Source organism: Homo sapiens, chromosome 7, assembly GCF_000001405.40.
Source record: "Homo sapiens chromosome 7, GRCh38.p14 Primary Assembly".
Taxonomy (NCBI): Eukaryota; Metazoa; Chordata; class Mammalia; order Primates; family Hominidae; genus Homo; species Homo sapiens.
In genome coordinates, this window is record NC_000007.14 from 98,351,429 (window position 1) to 98,369,487 (window position 18,059).

The 18,059-nt window shown below is 44.8% G+C and overlaps 1 protein-coding gene across 1 annotated transcript in view, besides 3 other annotated features; it reads right to left on the bottom strand.

The window, feature by feature from the left end:
- Positions 1-18,059, bottom strand: part of BAIAP2L1 (BAR/IMD domain containing adaptor protein 2 like 1) — a 109,441-nt gene that overhangs the window by 59,779 nt on the left and 31,603 nt on the right. Inside the window, exons 2-3 of the mRNA NM_018842.5 lie at positions 10,929-11,004; positions 3,614-3,700 (exon numbers count right to left, since the gene is read on the bottom strand). Coding sequence (NP_061330.2) covers positions 3,614-3,700; positions 10,929-11,004 — 163 coding nt within the window. The remainder of the gene's footprint in view (positions 1-3,613; positions 3,701-10,928; positions 11,005-18,059) is intronic.
- Positions 8,273-9,150: an enhancer, noted in NCBI's record as "NANOG-H3K27ac-H3K4me1 hESC enhancer chr7:97989013-97989890 (GRCh37/hg19 assembly coordinates)". NCBI's record gives its function as "activates a minimal SCP1, AML or CMV promoter by ChIP-STARR-seq in naive H9 embryonic stem cells {active_cell/tissue: H9 hESC(naive)}" and the evidence as "EXISTENCE:reporter gene assay evidence [ECO:0000049][PMID:30033119]".
- Positions 9,151-10,030: an enhancer, noted in NCBI's record as "NANOG-H3K27ac-H3K4me1 hESC enhancer chr7:97989891-97990770 (GRCh37/hg19 assembly coordinates)". NCBI's record gives its function as "activates a minimal SCP1, AML or CMV promoter by ChIP-STARR-seq in primed H9 embryonic stem cells {active_cell/tissue: H9 hESC(primed)}" and the evidence as "EXISTENCE:reporter gene assay evidence [ECO:0000049][PMID:30033119]".
- Positions 10,981-11,742: an enhancer, noted in NCBI's record as "OCT4-NANOG hESC enhancer chr7:97991721-97992482 (GRCh37/hg19 assembly coordinates)". NCBI's record gives its function as "activates a minimal SCP1, AML or CMV promoter by ChIP-STARR-seq in naive and primed H9 embryonic stem cells {active_cell/tissue: H9 hESC(naive and primed)}" and the evidence as "EXISTENCE:reporter gene assay evidence [ECO:0000049][PMID:30033119]".

Genomic DNA, 18,059 nt, shown 5'->3' on the forward strand with positions numbered 1-18,059 from the left:
GGGGAGCTTTGCTAGCAGCTGGGTCCTGGGAGTGTGATCTAAATTGGGCCGTGGGGTATAAGGGGCTGTGTGCTGGAGCTTTGGGGCAAAGGTTGTCAGCACACCTGAGAAGAAATTCCCCTTCCTGCCTTTGGAGACAATGGGGAGAGAGAGGATGTGATGGTTGGAGAGGCAGTGGCAGCCATCCTGGCACCATGAGGAAATGAGTATGAGGATGAGAAGACAGAGAGAAGGAACCTGGGTCCCTAGTGATGATAAACTGACAACCTGCTGCTCCTCATGTGGAATAATAAAGATGCTGATTGCTTAACTCACTGTTCATTGGGTATTTTATTTTTTACTTTTAGGCAAAAGCATCCTACATTATTCACACAGCAGTGAGTGAGCCGATGCCAGGAGAGAGCTAAGTGTAAGTATCCACTGCTAGACATCAGAAATGGCACCGCTGTCACAGAGGCCGACCCTCGAGGCGCACAGAATGAACGTTTTGAAATGATTCATGATTTTCATGTATGTGATAACACCCCTTCGAGTTTTCTCATATGAGAGTTATAAAGTTTCATGATGAAGTTGTGAATACCAAATACCAAAACGGAGTAACTAGACAATAAAATCTTCTTGGAAGATGAGAAAAATACAATCTATCTTTGGTCTTTTTTTTTTTCTATGAATTGTCCATGACTCTTCCATACAGGGAATTTAAACAGATACGGGGTGCCTTTTTAGTCTGAACTGTATCAATAAAAGAAAAATGGAGCCAGTCAAGGAAGTAACTCCTCCTGAGATAGCATTGTACCATGGAATTGTTCGAAACGAGAAGAAAAACCAGTAACTACATGAGATAGCAAGTATTAAGCAAAAGGACAGCTTGAAACTAAATAAAACAGAAAGTTATTTCTGTTCCCTCTGAATAAAATACATACGCACAAGTGGCTGGGCACGGTGGCACACACCTGTAATCCTAGCATTTTGAGAGGCGTAGGCGGGTGGGTCACCCGAGGTCAGGAGTTTGAGACCAGCCTGGCCAAGATGGTGAAACCATGTGTCTACTAAAAATATGAAAATTAGCCGGGTATGGTGGTGGGCACCTGTAATCCCAGTTGCTCAGAAGGCTGAGGCATGAGAATTGCTTGAACCCTGGAGGCAGAGGCTGCAGGGAGCCAAGATCACGCCACTGCACTCCAGCCTAGGTGATGGAGTGAGGTTCCGTCTCAAAAAAACAAAAACAAAAAATACCCCATAGATATATACATGCACATGAAAGAAATTTCACCATCACAAAATACTTTCCTCACTGAAATGAAAGTTCTAAGCCTGTGTTGTTTATACCAACATCGTTGCTGTGGAAATAGCTGTTTCAACATTAGGAACTCACGACTGACTCAAGTAAGGTGTGGAGCAGAAGTCTTATTTAAACAGTGGCAGGACCCATAAAACATTAAAAAGGCAAACTGGGTGTGGTGAGTCAGAGCACCATATGTTTTAATGTAAGGGTCACACATGTTTTCTTTCTGATGCATGACACCAATAGGATGTTTCTTTTTATTCATGCTATTTTTGGAACCCTATAATCATCTCAACGACTCCCCCAAATATCCTAGGTTTTGCTGTCTGCTTCTGTCTACATCCGGCAGCCTCCGTATTTTATTAAATTCATTGTGCTTAGAACAGAGTTACTACAGTTCAGTCCTCGCTGGCACATGCAGGATTATGGCACCAACCAGGGCACAAGCAGGATTTTGGAAAACTTCTGCATGTAACTGAGTCTATTAAATATAGCAGTACTGGGCTGGGTGAGGCCAGTCATCCTAGCACTTTGAGAGGCCAAGGCAGGGGGAATCCTAGAGGCCAAGAGTTCAAGACCAACCTGGCCAACACAGAGAGACCCCCTAAAATATATATAAATATATAAATATATTTATATATTTATATATATACACATATATTTATATTATGTATATTATAAATATACATAATATATATATTATAAATATATTTATATTATATATAAATATATATACATACATATTTATATTATAAATATACATATTTACATTATAAATACACATATATTTATATTATAAATACACATATATTTATAAATATACATATATTTATATTATAAATATATGTATATTAATATTATAAATACATATATATTTATATATGTATATTATATGTATATTTATAATATACATATATTTATATATGTATATTATATATATTTTTATATATATAAATAATATTATGGCTGGGCGCGGTGGCTCACACCTGTAATCTCAGTACTTTGGTAGGCTGAGGCAGGAGGATCACCTGAGGTCAGGAGTTCGAGATCAGCCTGGCCAACATGGCGAAACCCCGTCTCTACTAAAAATACAAAAAAATTAGCCAGGCGTGGTGGCGGGCATCTGTAGTCTCAGCTACTTAGGAGGCTGAGGCAGGAGAATTGCTTGAACCTGGGCAGCAGAGGTTGCAGTGAGCCGAGATCGTGCCACTGCACTCCAGCCTGGGTGACAGAGCAAGACTCTGTCTCAATAAAATAAAATAAAATAAAATAAAATAAAATAAAATAAAATAAAAAATTAAAAAATACATAGATCGCTTTCTCGCAGTACTGACTTATTCACTAACAAGGCATCACTTCCAGCATATGGTCTACCGTGTGCCTATGGCTTTATACGGAGACTGTGAGGACCCAGATCGCCTCTGCACCCAACAGCCCAGCTCCTCAACTCCACTGTCAGGCCTCTCATTTGTCCCTGTCTTTTATGGGTCAGTTAAGAGCTTCCCAAACAATCCTAAAAACCCTCAGGCCAACCCCATCGAGAAACCATGTGACTTGCCCGCACCTTCCCTTGGTGATGCCCCCACTCCTCTGCTTCCCCTTCCTACTTCTTAACTGGACATGGATGCACTTTTCTTTAAATACGCACACACTTTACCATGATTTTCCTCCGGTTAAGCCAGAAATTTTACCCTTTGTACAATAAAACATATTCAACAAGTTTTTTAAATGAGAGTGCTGTGTGGGGCCGTTTTAAAAGCCCACCTTTCCCTAACCCCCGACAGTGAAGTGTTCTATAAACAGAAGCCCAGATCCCCTCGGCAGCGGGCACTGCCCAGGGTGTAACCGCCCTCTCTGCCTGCACAGGAGAGCGATTCATACCAGCAGAACCGGAAAAATCACAGCTGAAAGCAACCAGGGAAGAGGCAAGGGCCAAGAGAGCAATGTAAAGGAGTCGGATTTTCTACTAGGTGAGTCACAGGAAACACTCTGGCCACAGCCCGAGGCCCCAGGAGGCCCGGCTCGCCCATCAGGAATGTAGGTCAAACTCCCAGCGGGAAGGGTGAGAGCCCAGGCACCCAGGGCAAAAGCTCAAGTTCCTAGGAGAACAGGGAGGCTGGCCAGAAAACAAGGCCTCCACTCGCCCTCCGGCACCAGTCCCAGCCCACCCTACGACTAAGCATCAATTTCCACAGACCGCGGTGAAGTAGAACCACAGCATGCTGGCCCAGATCTCTCCTCTGTTCTGGACTGGGCCATCCCACGCGTTTCTCTTGGGGTTCACAGGATGACAAGTGGGGTTTATGTATAAAGGGACAGATCGCTCACCCAGTTCAGTTGACACGGGGGACCCAGTGGCAATCTCACCGATCTTGGCCACTCCATCGTAGTAGGCTTTTCCTGCCAGGATCATAGCTAGACACAAAAGGTGACACACAAAATCGTCACTTAGACAAGGAAAGGAGGAAGCAACACAAGTTTTCTTCCAAACACCCCCTGGTCCCTTCTGGCTGCAGGAAGGTTTGGGCTGTGGCAGGTGTGGCTCTCAGGAGGTAAGACCTGTGTTGAGAGTGGTGCCGGGGTGGAGGCCCTCCAGCCAAGGGACAGCCCCATGAGATCCTCGTCTCTGACCAGCCCCGGGGAACCTTCAGCAGCAGGTGCTGAAAGTCCAGAGAAGGCTCAGCTTGCTCCTGATGCCAGTTTCAGAGTGGATGCGTTCCTAACGTTGAACTAGGGCTTTGCCTGGGCACGGTGGCTCACACCTGTAATCCCAGCCCTTTGGGAGGCTGAGGTGGGAGGAGTTTGAGACCAGCCTGGGCAACATGGTAAAACCCCGCCTCTACAAAAAAAAAAAAAAATACATAAATTAGCCAGGCATGGTGGAGTGTGCCTGCAGTCCCAGCTACTTGGGAGGCTGAGGTGAGAGGATCGCTTGAGCCCAGGAGGCGGAGGTTGCAAGTGAGCCGAGATCATGACACTGCATTCTACTCTGGGTGACACAGCCAGATATTGTCTCAAAAATAAATATAAAAAAAGAAGATACATCCTCTCCAGCCAGAAATCTTTTCTGAGCTAGTTCTTCTCCAGCACTCCAGGTCTGCAACATTCTTAGTTAGGAGTTGTGTGAGGTGGACTAGGAGCCTGGTCCTTTGATGGCAGTGCTTAATTTTTCTATTGAAAAAGGCATTTTGAGCCACAACCAACCAACCTATTTGTTGCCAGGAGAGAATATATGAAATTTGAAATATATTATCATTCCAAAAAGCAACACAATTGTCTGAAAAAATAACTGAATGCTCTACTTTTTCTTTTTTGGCAAAGACAAGAAAACTTTTATTGCTACAAGGTGGGTTCTAATTATCTTAAAAATAGTACTGCCCCCTTCGAACTGATTCTGAAGACTAAATTATAACTATGTAACCTCCAGGGGCAAATTACTTACCCTTTCTGAAACAAAGGTTGCTCATCCTTAAAATGCCCTAAGAATGTGAGTGACAGATGAACAAATGGAAGCTGCTAATACACTTTTTTCACTTTACAATCTAGGTTTGAGGGTATTGAAGATGTATGATAGAGACCCAGCCTGGTTAGTGTAATTTTGGAGAAAAGCATTTATTTGGAATTTTACTCTAAGATTGGTTTCAGACATAGAAATCAGTTTCTCCTGGAGCTTTGGAGACCACACAGTTTTGGAGCTAAAAGAGCCCTCGGGAATCCCAGAGGCTATACCAGCTGCAATGCCGCAATGTATAATGGGCAATTGTTTTAACAAGGTGGATTTTATTTTATTTTATTTTTTTAGAGGCAGAGTCTTGTTCTTTCACCCAGGCTGGAGTGCAGTGGCAAGATCATGGCTCACTGCAGCCTTGACCTCCTGGGCTCAAAGGATCCTTCTGCCTCAGCCTCCCAAGTAGCTGGGACTACAGGCACGTGCCACCATTCCTGGCTAATTAAAAAAAAAAAAAAAAAAAAAATTGAAGGGGCTGGGTGCAGTGGCTTACACCTGTACTCCTAGCATTTTGCGAGGCTGAGGTAGGAGGATCACTTGAGCCCAAGAGTTTGAGACCAGCCTGGGCAACATAAGGAGACCCCCCCATATCTCTACTGAAAACAAACAAAAAAAACTAGCCAGGCATGGTGGTGGTGGCACACGCCTATAGTAGTCCCAGCTACTCAGGAAGCTAAGGTGGGAGAATTGCGTGAGCCCAGAAGGTCAAGACTGCAGTGAACCACAACTGTACCACTGTACTCCAGCGTGGGCAAGAGTGAGGCCCCTGTCTCAAAAAAAAAAAAAAAAAAAAAAAAAAATATATATATATATATATATATATATATATTTTTTTTTTTTTTTTTTTAAGAGTAGGGGTCTCACTCTGTTGCCCAGGCTGGTCTTGAACTCCTGGGTTCAAGGGATCCTCTTGCCTGAGTCACCCAAAGTGTTTGGATTATAGTTGTGAGCCACAGAATTAATTCATGTGCAGGTCCAGCTGAAGGTATGAAAAGCCAAAACAGTAGTATATTTTTTCTGGCACATTAATCTACTTTAGGATTTATTGTAGAGTTAAAAATTTATAGCCAGGTGCTGTGGCTCACACCTGTGATCCCAGTACTTTGGGAGGCTGAGGCAGGAGGATCACGAGGTCAAGAGATTAAGACCGTCCTGGCCAACATGGTGAAATCCCGTCTCCACTAAAAATACAAAAATTAGCCGGGCATGGTGGCACATGCTTGTAATCCCAGCTATTCGGGAGGCTGAGGCAGGAGAATCGCTTGAACTCGGGAGGCAGAGGTTACAGTGAGCTGAGATTGCGCCACTGCACTCCAGCCTGGCGACAAAGTGAGACTCAGTCTCAAAAAAAAAAAAAAAAAGTACATATATATTTATATATATATAAAAGTTATGGTTTTTACCATATACATATCCAACTTTAGGAAATGCAATATTCTATCTACTGCACTATTATAAGACTCAGAACAACCTTAAAGTGTAAATGTAAAAAGAACAATAGCAATTAGCATTTATATACATACTTAGTTAATCTATCCAATTATGTTGAGACACAGTCCGTAATGTCATCAGCCCGTTGCGCTAAGGGCAGCGGAGTGGAGATATTCTGGGACATACCCAAGGTCAATGTTGAGTCAGCGGGAAGGCACACAGCTCTGGCTGGGCACTTCACTTCCTCAGCTCTAAATTATGGTGCTTTCTGATTCTTTGGTCTCGTCTAGAACTAAGAAAGAAGTGACTCCACCTAAAAACAAGGTGTGTAGCCAGGAAACTGTCAAGTTGTAAGATGGAACATCTTAGTATGAAGATGTTAAGTTGTAAAGTACTGATCATCTGAAAAGCAAATTAGTGCGGGAATGGAATGCAGGATTACACAATATTTAAGCAAAATGTTTGGTTTGCATCCACACATGAAATCACAATTTTTCATTAATTGTTGACTTACATTGAAAACCATGTAACCTTCTCGGTCTTGTAAAATATCTTTGCTATGATGATAAAGTTAAATTAACTTGAAAATTATAAAATTTAGCCAGAAGAGATAAATAATACTTTCATAATTTTGCCTCCCTTTTGTGAGCACATTAAGATATTTTCTACTACTTATTGTTTTAAGGAAAGAAGCATATTAGTTTTTTGTTTTTTTTTTTTTAAGAGTCAGCGTCTCACTCTGTTGCCCACACTGGAGTGCAGTGGTGTGATCATAGCTCACTGCAGCCTCCACCTCCTGGACTCAAGCCATCCTCCCACCTCAGCCTCCTGAGTAACTGGGACTACAGGTGCACGCCACCACACCTAGCTAATTTTTTATTTTTTCTAGAAATAGGGTCTCACTATGTTGCCCAGGCTGGTCTTGAACTCCTGGGCTCAAGCGATCCTCCCACCTCAGCCTCCCAAAGTGCTGGCATTACAGGCATAAGCCACCATACCTAGCATAGTTCTATTTTAGTGGTTGGCCAACTACTTCATCAGTCTAGACCAATCTATGTACTTCTACTTGATAATTTTTCCTTAAAATATGGTTTCATTGGGTGAACATTCTGCTCAAAGCCTTTGGTGTCCTCCCACTGCCCATGAGGTAAGGTCACACACCCCAGAGCCCGTAGTAGATTTTTACAGTAATGGCCTTCCAGGAATCACACCTCCCGGAATTCCCAGCGTATGTGGTCCCCTACCAGGTGGTGTGGCCATGGGACCTGCTTTGACCCACGGGTTATCAGCAAGCATGACTCCTGCAGGGACTTGAGAGGTGCTGGGCACTGGGGCTTATACTCTTAGGACACCACTGCTACTGAGTGAGGACAGAGTCTGGCCTCCTTGAAGGGGAAAGACCCCATTGCAGGGCTGCATCCAGCCCACAGCCCCACACGGGCCGCAGAAGACTGCAGGTGCAGGAGTGAGCCCGGAGGGTCTGGAGAACTGCCCTGCCTTATAGGAGAAATAAGAAACTGTTGCTATTCAAGTGCACAGTGATCTGACCCTATCCCGCCCACGCCCCAGCAGTGTGCCACCCATGCCAGTGTGGACCCCAGGTCCTGGCTTACTTGCTGTCTTTTTTTTTTTTTTTTTTGAGACAGAGTCTTGCTCTGTCACTAGGCTGGAGTGCAATGGCACGATCTCTGCTCACTGCAACCTTTACCTCCCGGGTTCAAGTGATTCTCCTGCCTCAGCCTCCTGAGTAGGTGGGATTACAGGCACCCGCCACCACGCCTGGCTAATTTTTGTATCTTTAGCAGAGACGGGGTTTCACCATGTTGGCCAGCCTGGTCTCAATCTCTTGACCTCGTGATCCGCCCGCTTCGGCCTCCCAGTGTGCTGGGATTACAGGCGTGAGCCATCGCGCCCGGCCGACTTGCTGTCTTTTATGCGTGCAGTAGTGTCTGCCTGCTGAAACCTAACATCTGGCAGATAGCTCATCTCCTGCAGGGCCTCCTCCCTGTTCCAGGCCACACCAACCCACACCACTCAAATTCTTGTGACACTGGTCTGTACAATGCTCCTAGCCATTCACCTGTAGACCTGGGTTTTTTTTTTTTTTTTTTTTTTTAATTTTTTTGAGACAGGGTCTTGCTCTGTCTCCTAGGCTGGAGTGCAGTGGTACAATCACAGCTCATTGCAGCCTCGAACTTCTGGACTCAAGCAATCCTCCCACCCCAGGCTCCTGATAGGTAGGACCACAGGAGCATGCCACCATGCCCAGCTAATTTTTTTTTTTTTCTGAGGCCGAGTCTCACTCTGTTGCCCAGGCTGGAGTGCAGTGGCATGATCTTGGCTCATTGCAACCTCTGCCTCCCGGGTTCAAGTGATTCTCCTGCCTCAGCCTCCCACGTAGTTGGGATCACAGGCACGTGCCACCACTCCCGGCTAAATTTTGTATTTTTAGTAGAGACAGGGATTTACCATTTTGGCCAGGCTGGTTTCGAACTTCTGACCTCAGGTGATCTGCCCACCTCGGCCTCCCAAATTGCTGAGATTACAGGCGTGAACCACCGCGCCTGGCCTGAGCTAATTTTTAAATTTTTTTTGTAGTGACGGGGTCTCGAATTCCTGGGCTAAAGCTATCCTCCTGTCTCAGACTCCCAAAGTGCTGGAATTACAGGCACGAGCCACCACGCCCAGCCTGCCTTGTGTTCTAACGTAACTGTGGACTGCACACCTGGCAGCCTCAACTATTTCCAAATTCTCACCAAGGACTTTACACATTTACCTACATTTCTCAATGGCTTCAGCAAAGGCACAACCAGATGGCCTGCAGAAATTCTGGAAATACCTTCTGAAGTATTTACTCCCCAGGAGGTGCTAAAGTGTCAAGAGCCCTTTGGGGAGAAGCCTTGTTAGCAGGAAGCTAAGCTGTAGGCAGCTCACTGGCTCACCTTGTAAAACTCTGCAGCTCATGCTAGAAAGAAAAAAAAAAAAAGAGGCAGCTCATGCTAGAAAGAAAAAAAAACTGCAGGTCACAGTGATTTCCTTCACAAGGACATCTAAAGCAATGACTTTGTGGCCTTGTGACTAAGCAATCTTCGAGGGAGAGTCAGCAGTGCACAGCTCTGGCTTTCTGGAGGACAGGGGCACTTGCAGAAGTCACGGGGACCACTGGAGGGCAAGGGAGCAAAATCCCAGACCTGCTGCATTTCCTGCTGCTGAAATCTCCGAAAGCACAGCAAGGCAGAAGAGTAAATGAGCAGTATACTTTTCCAGCGACTACACACAATGGTGCTCCTCCTCACCCAGAGTCCACAGTCTAGCCAGCTCACACCCTTTCCTGGGGCAGGTTCATGCTGAGCGAGAGTGAGGCCACAGGTTTATTTTCAAAATATCAACAGGGAGCAACCAGTATGGCAAAAAAGATAAGAGGCTGGGTGTGGTGGCTTAAGTTTATAATCCTAGCACTTTGGGAGGCTGAGGGGAGTGGATTACCTGAGGTCAGGAGTTCGAGACCAGCCTGGCCAACATGGTGAAACCCCATCTCTACTAAAAATACAAAAATTAGCTGGGCATGGTGGTGTACACCTATAATCCCAGCTACTTGGGAGGCTGAGGCAGAAGAATCGCTTGAGCCTGGGAGGCAGAGGTTGCAGTGAGCCGAGATTGTTCCACTGCACTCCAGCCTGGGCGACAGAGCAAGACTCTGTCTGGGAAAAAAAAAAAGAAAGAAAGAAAGAAAGAAGAGATAAGAAGATGTAAAACTTGATCTGAAGCTGCCTTCAAATCTGTCAGAAACTACATTTCTACTTATGTTACTTGGTGACAAAAGTAGAGCGGTGGGAGAGGGTGAAACTGGGGTCTGAGTGTTTTGGGGTGATACTTGCTACATTTTGGGGAAGAACTGTCTTGCCCATGTTAGAATTTGGTGATTGCTAGCGTTTTTAAGGTGATCACTGATGCATTTTAATCACAAAGACAGGCCAATAGCAATACTCAAGTTCATTTTAAATGAAGCATATATTTTGAAATGAGAACCTAAGTCCAACTGTTTAATTTAGATGTTTTTCCATTCAGGCTAAAAAAAATTTCTTCTTTTTTTTCTTTTTTGAGACAGACCCTTACTCTGTTGCTCAGGCTGGGGTGCAGTGGCACTATCACAGCTCATTACAGCCTCAGCCTCCCAGGCACAAGCGATCATCCCGCCACACACTCCTGAGTAGCTGGGACTACAGGCGCGCACCACCACGTGCAGCTAATTTCATTCAAGCTAAAAATATTGTTTCTCATGTAACTATCAAAAGTGACACATCGGGGAAAAAAAGATGAAAAAAGTGATACATCTAAAGACAAGAAATTCTTTTATATACATAAAAGGAGAATAATTTCTGTGCTGTAGGACCCTAACTTATAAATGTCTCATGTACACATTTTATATTTGTTAGTTTACCAAGAATTTGGTTTTAAAAGTAGAAAGCACGGTTTTATAGTTAAAAGACATCACTTAGAGTACCCTCACTTTCATTCAATTGACTTGTTTCAAATACGCTAATATCATTGTGTACTGTCATTGCAAAGTTCTGTAGATTAAATTCATTGTGAACAATTTTTAACCACTTAAAGGTATTTAAAAATTCAATACTAAGCATTTAAAAATAATTACATATTTACTGAGTGGCTTTATATATAATCAATTCAGAAAAACAGACTTACCGTTTACAGCTTTCTCATAATTTTTCCCCAGGTTTATTAAATTTCGCAGCCCAGGATTGAACTGTTCCATAACATTCTGCCAAACAAACAAAACACACAAATTAATAAAATAAAAAATAAACCAAGTCATCTTCAGATTTTGTCACTGTGTGGCCCAGGATAGCTATGGATGCCTAACAGCACAGTCTACAAAGTAATGAATGCTGATGTAAAAATAATGAAGCACACCTATTCCCTTACCTGATGGAACAGGGCTCACAGGTGGCAAGGTGCCCGTAACCCTGGCAGTTCTCAGTTGCCCAAGAGGCTGCCTGGAATCTGCTATAAGCGGAGCAGGCAGCAGTCATTCATGTCTCTACCATACCCTGCAGGGACTGTAGGCCTGGCATCCTCTTGGGTTTGAGTGGATTGCTAATGGTTCTCATTCTAGTGTTAAGGAACGCCTGTGGAGGATCAGCTACCTGTACTTACTTACAAAGGCAATGTTTCAAATAGATTTCGATGAATTTCTATCCACTGAATAGAAATTTCCAGGAGATTTTGTTTTTACTCTGCCTAATTATAGGGGTGTGGGCGGGGAGGGACGTGAAAGGGGGCATTGGTAGCATGTTGCTGATGGCCCCAGGACACAGGCCTGCCTGGAAACTTCTGGATGTCCCTGGCATTTTTTCTTTTTTTTTTTTTTTTTTTTTTTTTGAGACGGAGTCTCACTCTGTCATCCAGGCTGGAGTACAGTGGCACGATCTCAGCTCACTGCAACCTCCGCCTACTAGGTTCAAGCAATTCTCCTGCCCCTGCCTCCCGAGTAGCTGGGATTACAGGAGCCCACCACCACACCCAGCTAATTTTTATATTTTTAGTAGAGGCGGGGTTTCACCATGTTGGCCAGGCTGGTCTCGAACTCCTGACCTCAGGTTATCCGCGTACCTTGGCCTCCCAAAATGCTGGGATTACAGGCACGAGCCACTGCGCCCTGCCTCCCTGGCATTTTCCCACTGATTGGTTTATTCACCAAAGTTGTGTGGAGTAACTACCATGGGCCAGACCCTGTGCACACAGCTAAGGATTAGAAGGCACAGTTTCCCTCTCATGGATTTCATGGTGCAGCCAGTGTCCAGGTTTCATTTCAACACGTGTTATTCCTGTATCAGCAGAAAGTCATAAAGACAAATGCTAGGACAAGTATAAGACAAATAACTATTTAGGACGTGGGTCTAAATTTTAAAATACCCTAACTTTGAAGTACAGACAATAAGTCATTCCTACGGTACTCAGACTTCACGACTCACAACACGTGGCGATTGTTATGTGTTTGTTCCATCTAGGAACAATAAGCTTCATGATATTAATCACCCCAAAGAGACCATTCAAGTCTCACCGACCCCTTCCCCAAATGCATGCTCCATTTATATAGACGACCAGATGCAAAAAAGAATGAACAACTACCCAACATTCAAAGAGGCAGGTGCTTTACACACATACCCTTCAGAATAAATGAATCAGGAGGAGAGAGAGAATAGGACGACTCTTGTTTTTAATCAAACTGTGATAACAATGAAAAACAACCCATGCCTCGACCTTTCCATAGCCCTGGTCTTATGCCCGAGAGCACTTTCAACTATGCTCCTATTTTTGTATTTATTGCTGCAGTTTTGAATATTCTTTTTTTTTTTAAATATTCTTGATTTCTTGATTTTGGGGAGTAACTGCAGCTTCCTACGACAGCAGATGAGGCCTCAGGTCTCTATACCTCTCACTCTTCCTTTCCAATGGACTTTCTATGCAATTAGATGGCAATTTGCTGATGAAACTATAGTCAGTGTTCATTATGACTTTGCACTAAGGCTGATGGTTCCCTTTCTCAGTAAAGCCTGGCTGTTTTTCCTGGGATGGACAATTGTTTCTTTCCGCCCCGCCACCTTTGCTTAGTTTTCTGTTTATCTACCTTAAACTTGTCCCCATGCTGTATTAGACTTGGCTGAGGCCTATCAGTGTTATTTTTCAAATGTACAAAACTCTCAGCTAATCTCCTGTTCCGTTTTTCCCTTGACTTCCTCTAAGGACTCTCCACCATCTTGCTCAGTGTGGCTTGACTGTCACGATTGCCCTAGCATGGCCCTCCTGGTGGCCTGTGGCAGCGCTCTTGTCAGCCAGGTAGGTCCACGTCTTCCTATTTCTCCAAAATGGAGATCACATTCCAAAAATGATCTAAGAACTAATGCGTGAGAGGTAAATCTGAGTCCCCGTGTGTCTGAAATTATCTTTACCTTGACGTTTGCTATTTTGCTGAGTAGAGCAGAGTAGATTGAAACTATTTTCCTTAGAATTTTTAAGACATCACTTGGTCAGGCGTGATGGCTCATGCTTGTAATCCCAGAACTTTGGGAGGCTGAAGTGGGAGGATCACCACTTGAGCCCAGGAGTTTGCGACCAACCTGGACAACATATCGAGACTCCCATCGCTACAAAAAATAAAAACAATTAGCCAAGGGTGGTGGCTTGTGGCTGTGGTCCCAGCTACTTGGGAGGCTGAGGTGAGAGGATCACTTGAGCCCAGGAGTTTGAGGCTGCAGTTAGTTGTGACTGCACCACTTCACTCCAATTTGGGTGACAGAGTGAGGATATGTCTCAAAAAAAAAAAAAAAAAAAAAAAAAAAAAAAAAGAGCTATTACTCCACTGTCTTTAGCATCTGGGTCTGCTGAAGTCAGCTGCCATTTCTTCCTATGTGACTTTTTTTTAAAGCTTATTTCTGGAAGCCTTCTCTTTATTCCTGTGTTCTGAAATTGCACCATGGTCTGTCCCAGCATTTTTTTTGTTTGTTTTTCATTTATTTTACCGGACACTCAGTGGGACCCCTAGCCATGTGGAAAATTATGTCCTTCAGGTACAAATATCATTCCTGTTTTATTTCTTGTCTCTTCATTCTTTCTGGAACTCTGATGAAGATTTTATATATCCTGGATTTATTCTCTAATCTTTTTTGATTTTCCACTTTCAGTAGTTTTGTTCTATAACGCTAACAGATATCCTCAACTTTATGTTCCAATTCTATTTTTTGAATTTGATATATCTTAATTTCTAAGAGCATGTTCATGTTTCTTGATTGCTCTTTTTGTTTTGGTTTGGTTTTTGAGATGGAGTTTCACTCCGTTGCCCAGGATGGAGTGCAGTGGTGTGATCCTGGCTCACTACAACCTCGGCCTCCCAGGCTCAAGTGATCCTCGTGCCCCAACCTCCCAAGTAGCTGCGGGGGGTGGATCACAGGCATGCGCCACCACGCCTGGCTAATTTTTTGTATTTTTGGTAGAGACAGGGTTTTGCCATGTTGCCCAGACTGGTCTAAAACTCCTGAGCTCAAGCAATCTGCCCGCCCTGGCCTCCCAAAGTGCTGGGATTACAGGTGTGAGCCACCACGCCCAGCCTTTTGATTGCTTCTTTTTAAAAGTACTCTCCTGTTCTTGTTTTATAGATGCAGTATCTTCTCCTGTCTGAATTTTTTGGTGTGTTTTATTCTAGTTCCCGTATCATCTCCTGATTACCTTTCACTGTTTGATATCCCTGTCTTTCATGTTAGAGACTCTCCTCAAACGTGTGGTGATCCCTGATGGCCAGTTTGTATTGAGGCGTGCAGCCCGTCACTGCCGGCTGGAAGCTGTGGGTGTGTGCACAGGGTAGTGGCTGACTTGCTGGCTTCATTCCAAGCCAATGGCCACTCTACAGTCATCAGGGGCCACTGGGCTTCTGCTGAGAAGTTTCTAATTTCCTGTCATTGGGTGGGGGACAATCATCGGATGGTCAGCTTTCGCAGTCAGGAAGGGGGCCGGGACTGGACAGTTTGGAGCTGATTTTCAGGAACTCCTCTGTTTTCAGCTCAGAGTTCTGCCTCCTCCACCCTTGGCTGCTGTTTCCAAGTCTAGAGCACCTCAGATTATCCTGAGGTTAAATCTCTGCTCTGCCAGAGGGAGCTGCTGGTGGTGGTGGCTGGGGTAGGGAAGGGAAGCCAGGAGCTCCGCCACCCTGTGCACCAGACTCCGATTCCTGCCCCCACCTTCTGCGGCCCAGTCCTCAGCCTCTGGGGCCCCTGGGGTGAATGGCTCAGTTTCCATCAGACTCCTTTCCCCAGGTTCTTCAGGCTCTCTGAGGTCACTGAGCACTCTCTGTCCATTTCCTATCACCCCAGATTTCTTTAGGTCTCTTGTCAATGGATGTTTTCCAGGTCTTTTTGCACTGTGGATTTATTGGGTATTGTTTTTAATTCCTTTGCCATCATTTTAATGGGTTCTCAAAAGGAAGAAAATAAAATACACAAGGTGCCTCTCCCATGCCTGCCTGGAAGCCCGCTCACCTGGTATCACTAGACGCAGTCAGGTGCTTGGCACCTACGCGCAACCAGTGGCCAGGAAGCCCCAGAGCCAGCCAACTCCCCCACGATCCTCTCTACAAGATGGCAAAGCCTCATTACGTAGCCACAGCTGCTCTTTTTCTTTGCTTTGCTTTTTTTCTTTTCTTCCCTCCATCCCTTCTTCCCTCCTTTCTTCCTTCTTCTCTTTCTGAGACAGGGTTTTGATCTGTCACACAGGCTGGCGTGCAGTGGCATGATCACCACACACTGTAGCCCCAAACTCTTGGGCTCAAGTGATCCTCCTGCTTCAGCTTCCCGAGTAGCTGGGAGGTGTGTGCCACCATGCCCAGGTAATTAAATTTTTTTTTTTTTTTTAAGAGACAGGGTCTTGCTATGTTGTCCAGGCTGGTCTGTCCACAGCTGTTATTTCTGTCATCTCTTCTCAATTCTTTTGTTTTGGAGCTTCTTTGAAATAGTTTAAGACTCATAAGAGTTGTAAAAATAATACACAGAGTTCCCAGGTATGCTTCCTGCAATGGTATCTTCTATAACCATAGTATATTATCAAACCCAGGAAACTGTCACTGCTACAGTTCTATTAACTCAACTACAGACCTTATTTGGATTTTCCCACTTTTTGTATCACTCATTTTTGGGGGAAGGTTTCATCATTTCTTTTTTCTTTGTTTGAGACAGAGTCTTGCTCTGTTGCCCAGGTTGGAGTGCAGTGGTACGATCTCAGCTCACTGCAACCTCTGCCTCCCCGGTTCAAGCAATTCTCCTGCCTCAGCCTCTTGAGTAGATGGGATTATAGGCGCGCACCACCACACCTGGCTTTTTTTTTTTTTTTTTGTGAGACGGAGTCTCGCTCTGTCGCCCAGGCTAGAGTGCAGTGACGCAATCTCGGCTCACTGCAAGCTCTGCCTCTGGGGTTCACGTCATTCTCCTGCCTCAGCCTCCCGAGTAGCTGGGACTACAGGCACCCACCACCACGCCCGGCTAATTTTTTGTATTTTTAGTAGAGACGGGTTTCACTGTTAGCCAGGATGGTCTCGATTTCCTGACCTTGTGATCCACTGCGGCCAGCCCAATTTTTGCATTTTTAATAGAGATGGGGTTTCGCCATGTTGGTCAGGCTGGTCTTGAACTCCCGACCTCAGATGGTCCACCTGCCTCGGCCTCCCAAAGTGCTGGGATTACAGGCGTGAGCCACCACGCTTGGCCGGGTTTCATCATTTCTATGAAATTTTATCATACATGTAGGTTGCCACGACCATCACCGCAAGTAAAATACGGAACTGTTCCACTAACACACACGCCTCTTTTGTGCTGCCACTTAATAATCATGCCCTCCTCCTCACCAATCCTCACCTCTGGCAATTCCTGAGCTCAATCTATGATTCTGTCATTGTGAGAATGTTATATAAAAGGAATCATGGCCGGGTGCAGTGGCTCATGCCTGTAATCCCAGCATTTTGGGAGGCCAAGTTGGGCAGATCACCTGAGGTCAGGAGTTCAAGACCAGCCTGGCCAACATGGTGAAACCCTGTCTCTACTAAAAAATACAAAAATTAGCGGGCGTGGTGGCGTTTGCCTGTAATCCCAGCTGCTCAGGAGGCTGAGGCCGGAGAATTGCTTGAATCTGGGAGGCAGAGGTTGCAGTGAGCTGAGACCGTGCCATTGCACTCCAGCCTGGGTGACAGAGTGAGACTCCATCTCAAAAACAAAACAAAACAAAACAAAAGAATCATGGGAGGCCGAGGCGGGTGGATCACAAGGTCAGAAGATCGACACCATTCTGGCCAACATGGTGAAACCCCGCCTCTACTAAAAATACATGAATTAGCTGGGTGTGGTGGTGCGTGCTTGTAATCCCAGCTACTTGGGGGGCTGAGGCAGGAGAATCATTTGAACCTAGGAGGCGGAGGTTGCATTGAGTCGAGATCGCACCACTGCACTCTAGCCTGGTGACAGAGCAAGACTCTGTCTCAAAAAAATAACAAAAAAGGAATCGTATCGTATGTGGCATTTTAAGATTTGCCCTTTTCACCCAGCACAATGCCTTAAGATGTATCCAAGTTGTTGGATGTAGTTTATCACTTTTTATTTTTTTTTTTTGGCTAGTAGCATTCCATGGTATGGATATATTGCAGTTTGTTTATCCACATACTTGTTGAAGACCTGGCTTGTTTCCAGGTTTTGACAATTCCAAGCAAAGCTGCTATGAGCGATCGCATACAGGTTTTTATGTGAGCTTACGTTTTCGTATCTCTAGGATAACCTGGGGGTTCAATGGCTGCGTCACATGGTAGGCACGTGTTTAACTTTTTAAGAAACTGCCAAACTTTTTTTTTTTTTTTTTCAGAACAGCTGCACCATTTTACTTTCCCATTAGCACTCGGAGATTTCACTCATTTTCAAAATCTGATAATTTCATTAGCACACAGCTACTTTCTAATTAAAAGACAAAACTATTTTAAAGTTACTGAAAATTATTACAGGCCATGCGTGGTGACTCATGCCTGTAATCCCAAGCACTTTGGGAGGCCGAGGGAGGTGGGCTGTTTGAGCCCAGGAATTCGAGACTAGCCTGGGCAACGTGGTGAAACCCCATCTCTACCAAAAATACAAAAATTTGCTGGGCACGGCGGTGGGTGCCTGTAGTCCCAGCTACTCAGGAGGCTGAGGTAGGTGAATCGCTTGAACTCAAGAGACGGAGGTAGCAGTGAGATCGTGCCGCTGCACTCCAGCCTGGGCGATAAAGCGAGACCCTGTCTTGAAAAATAAA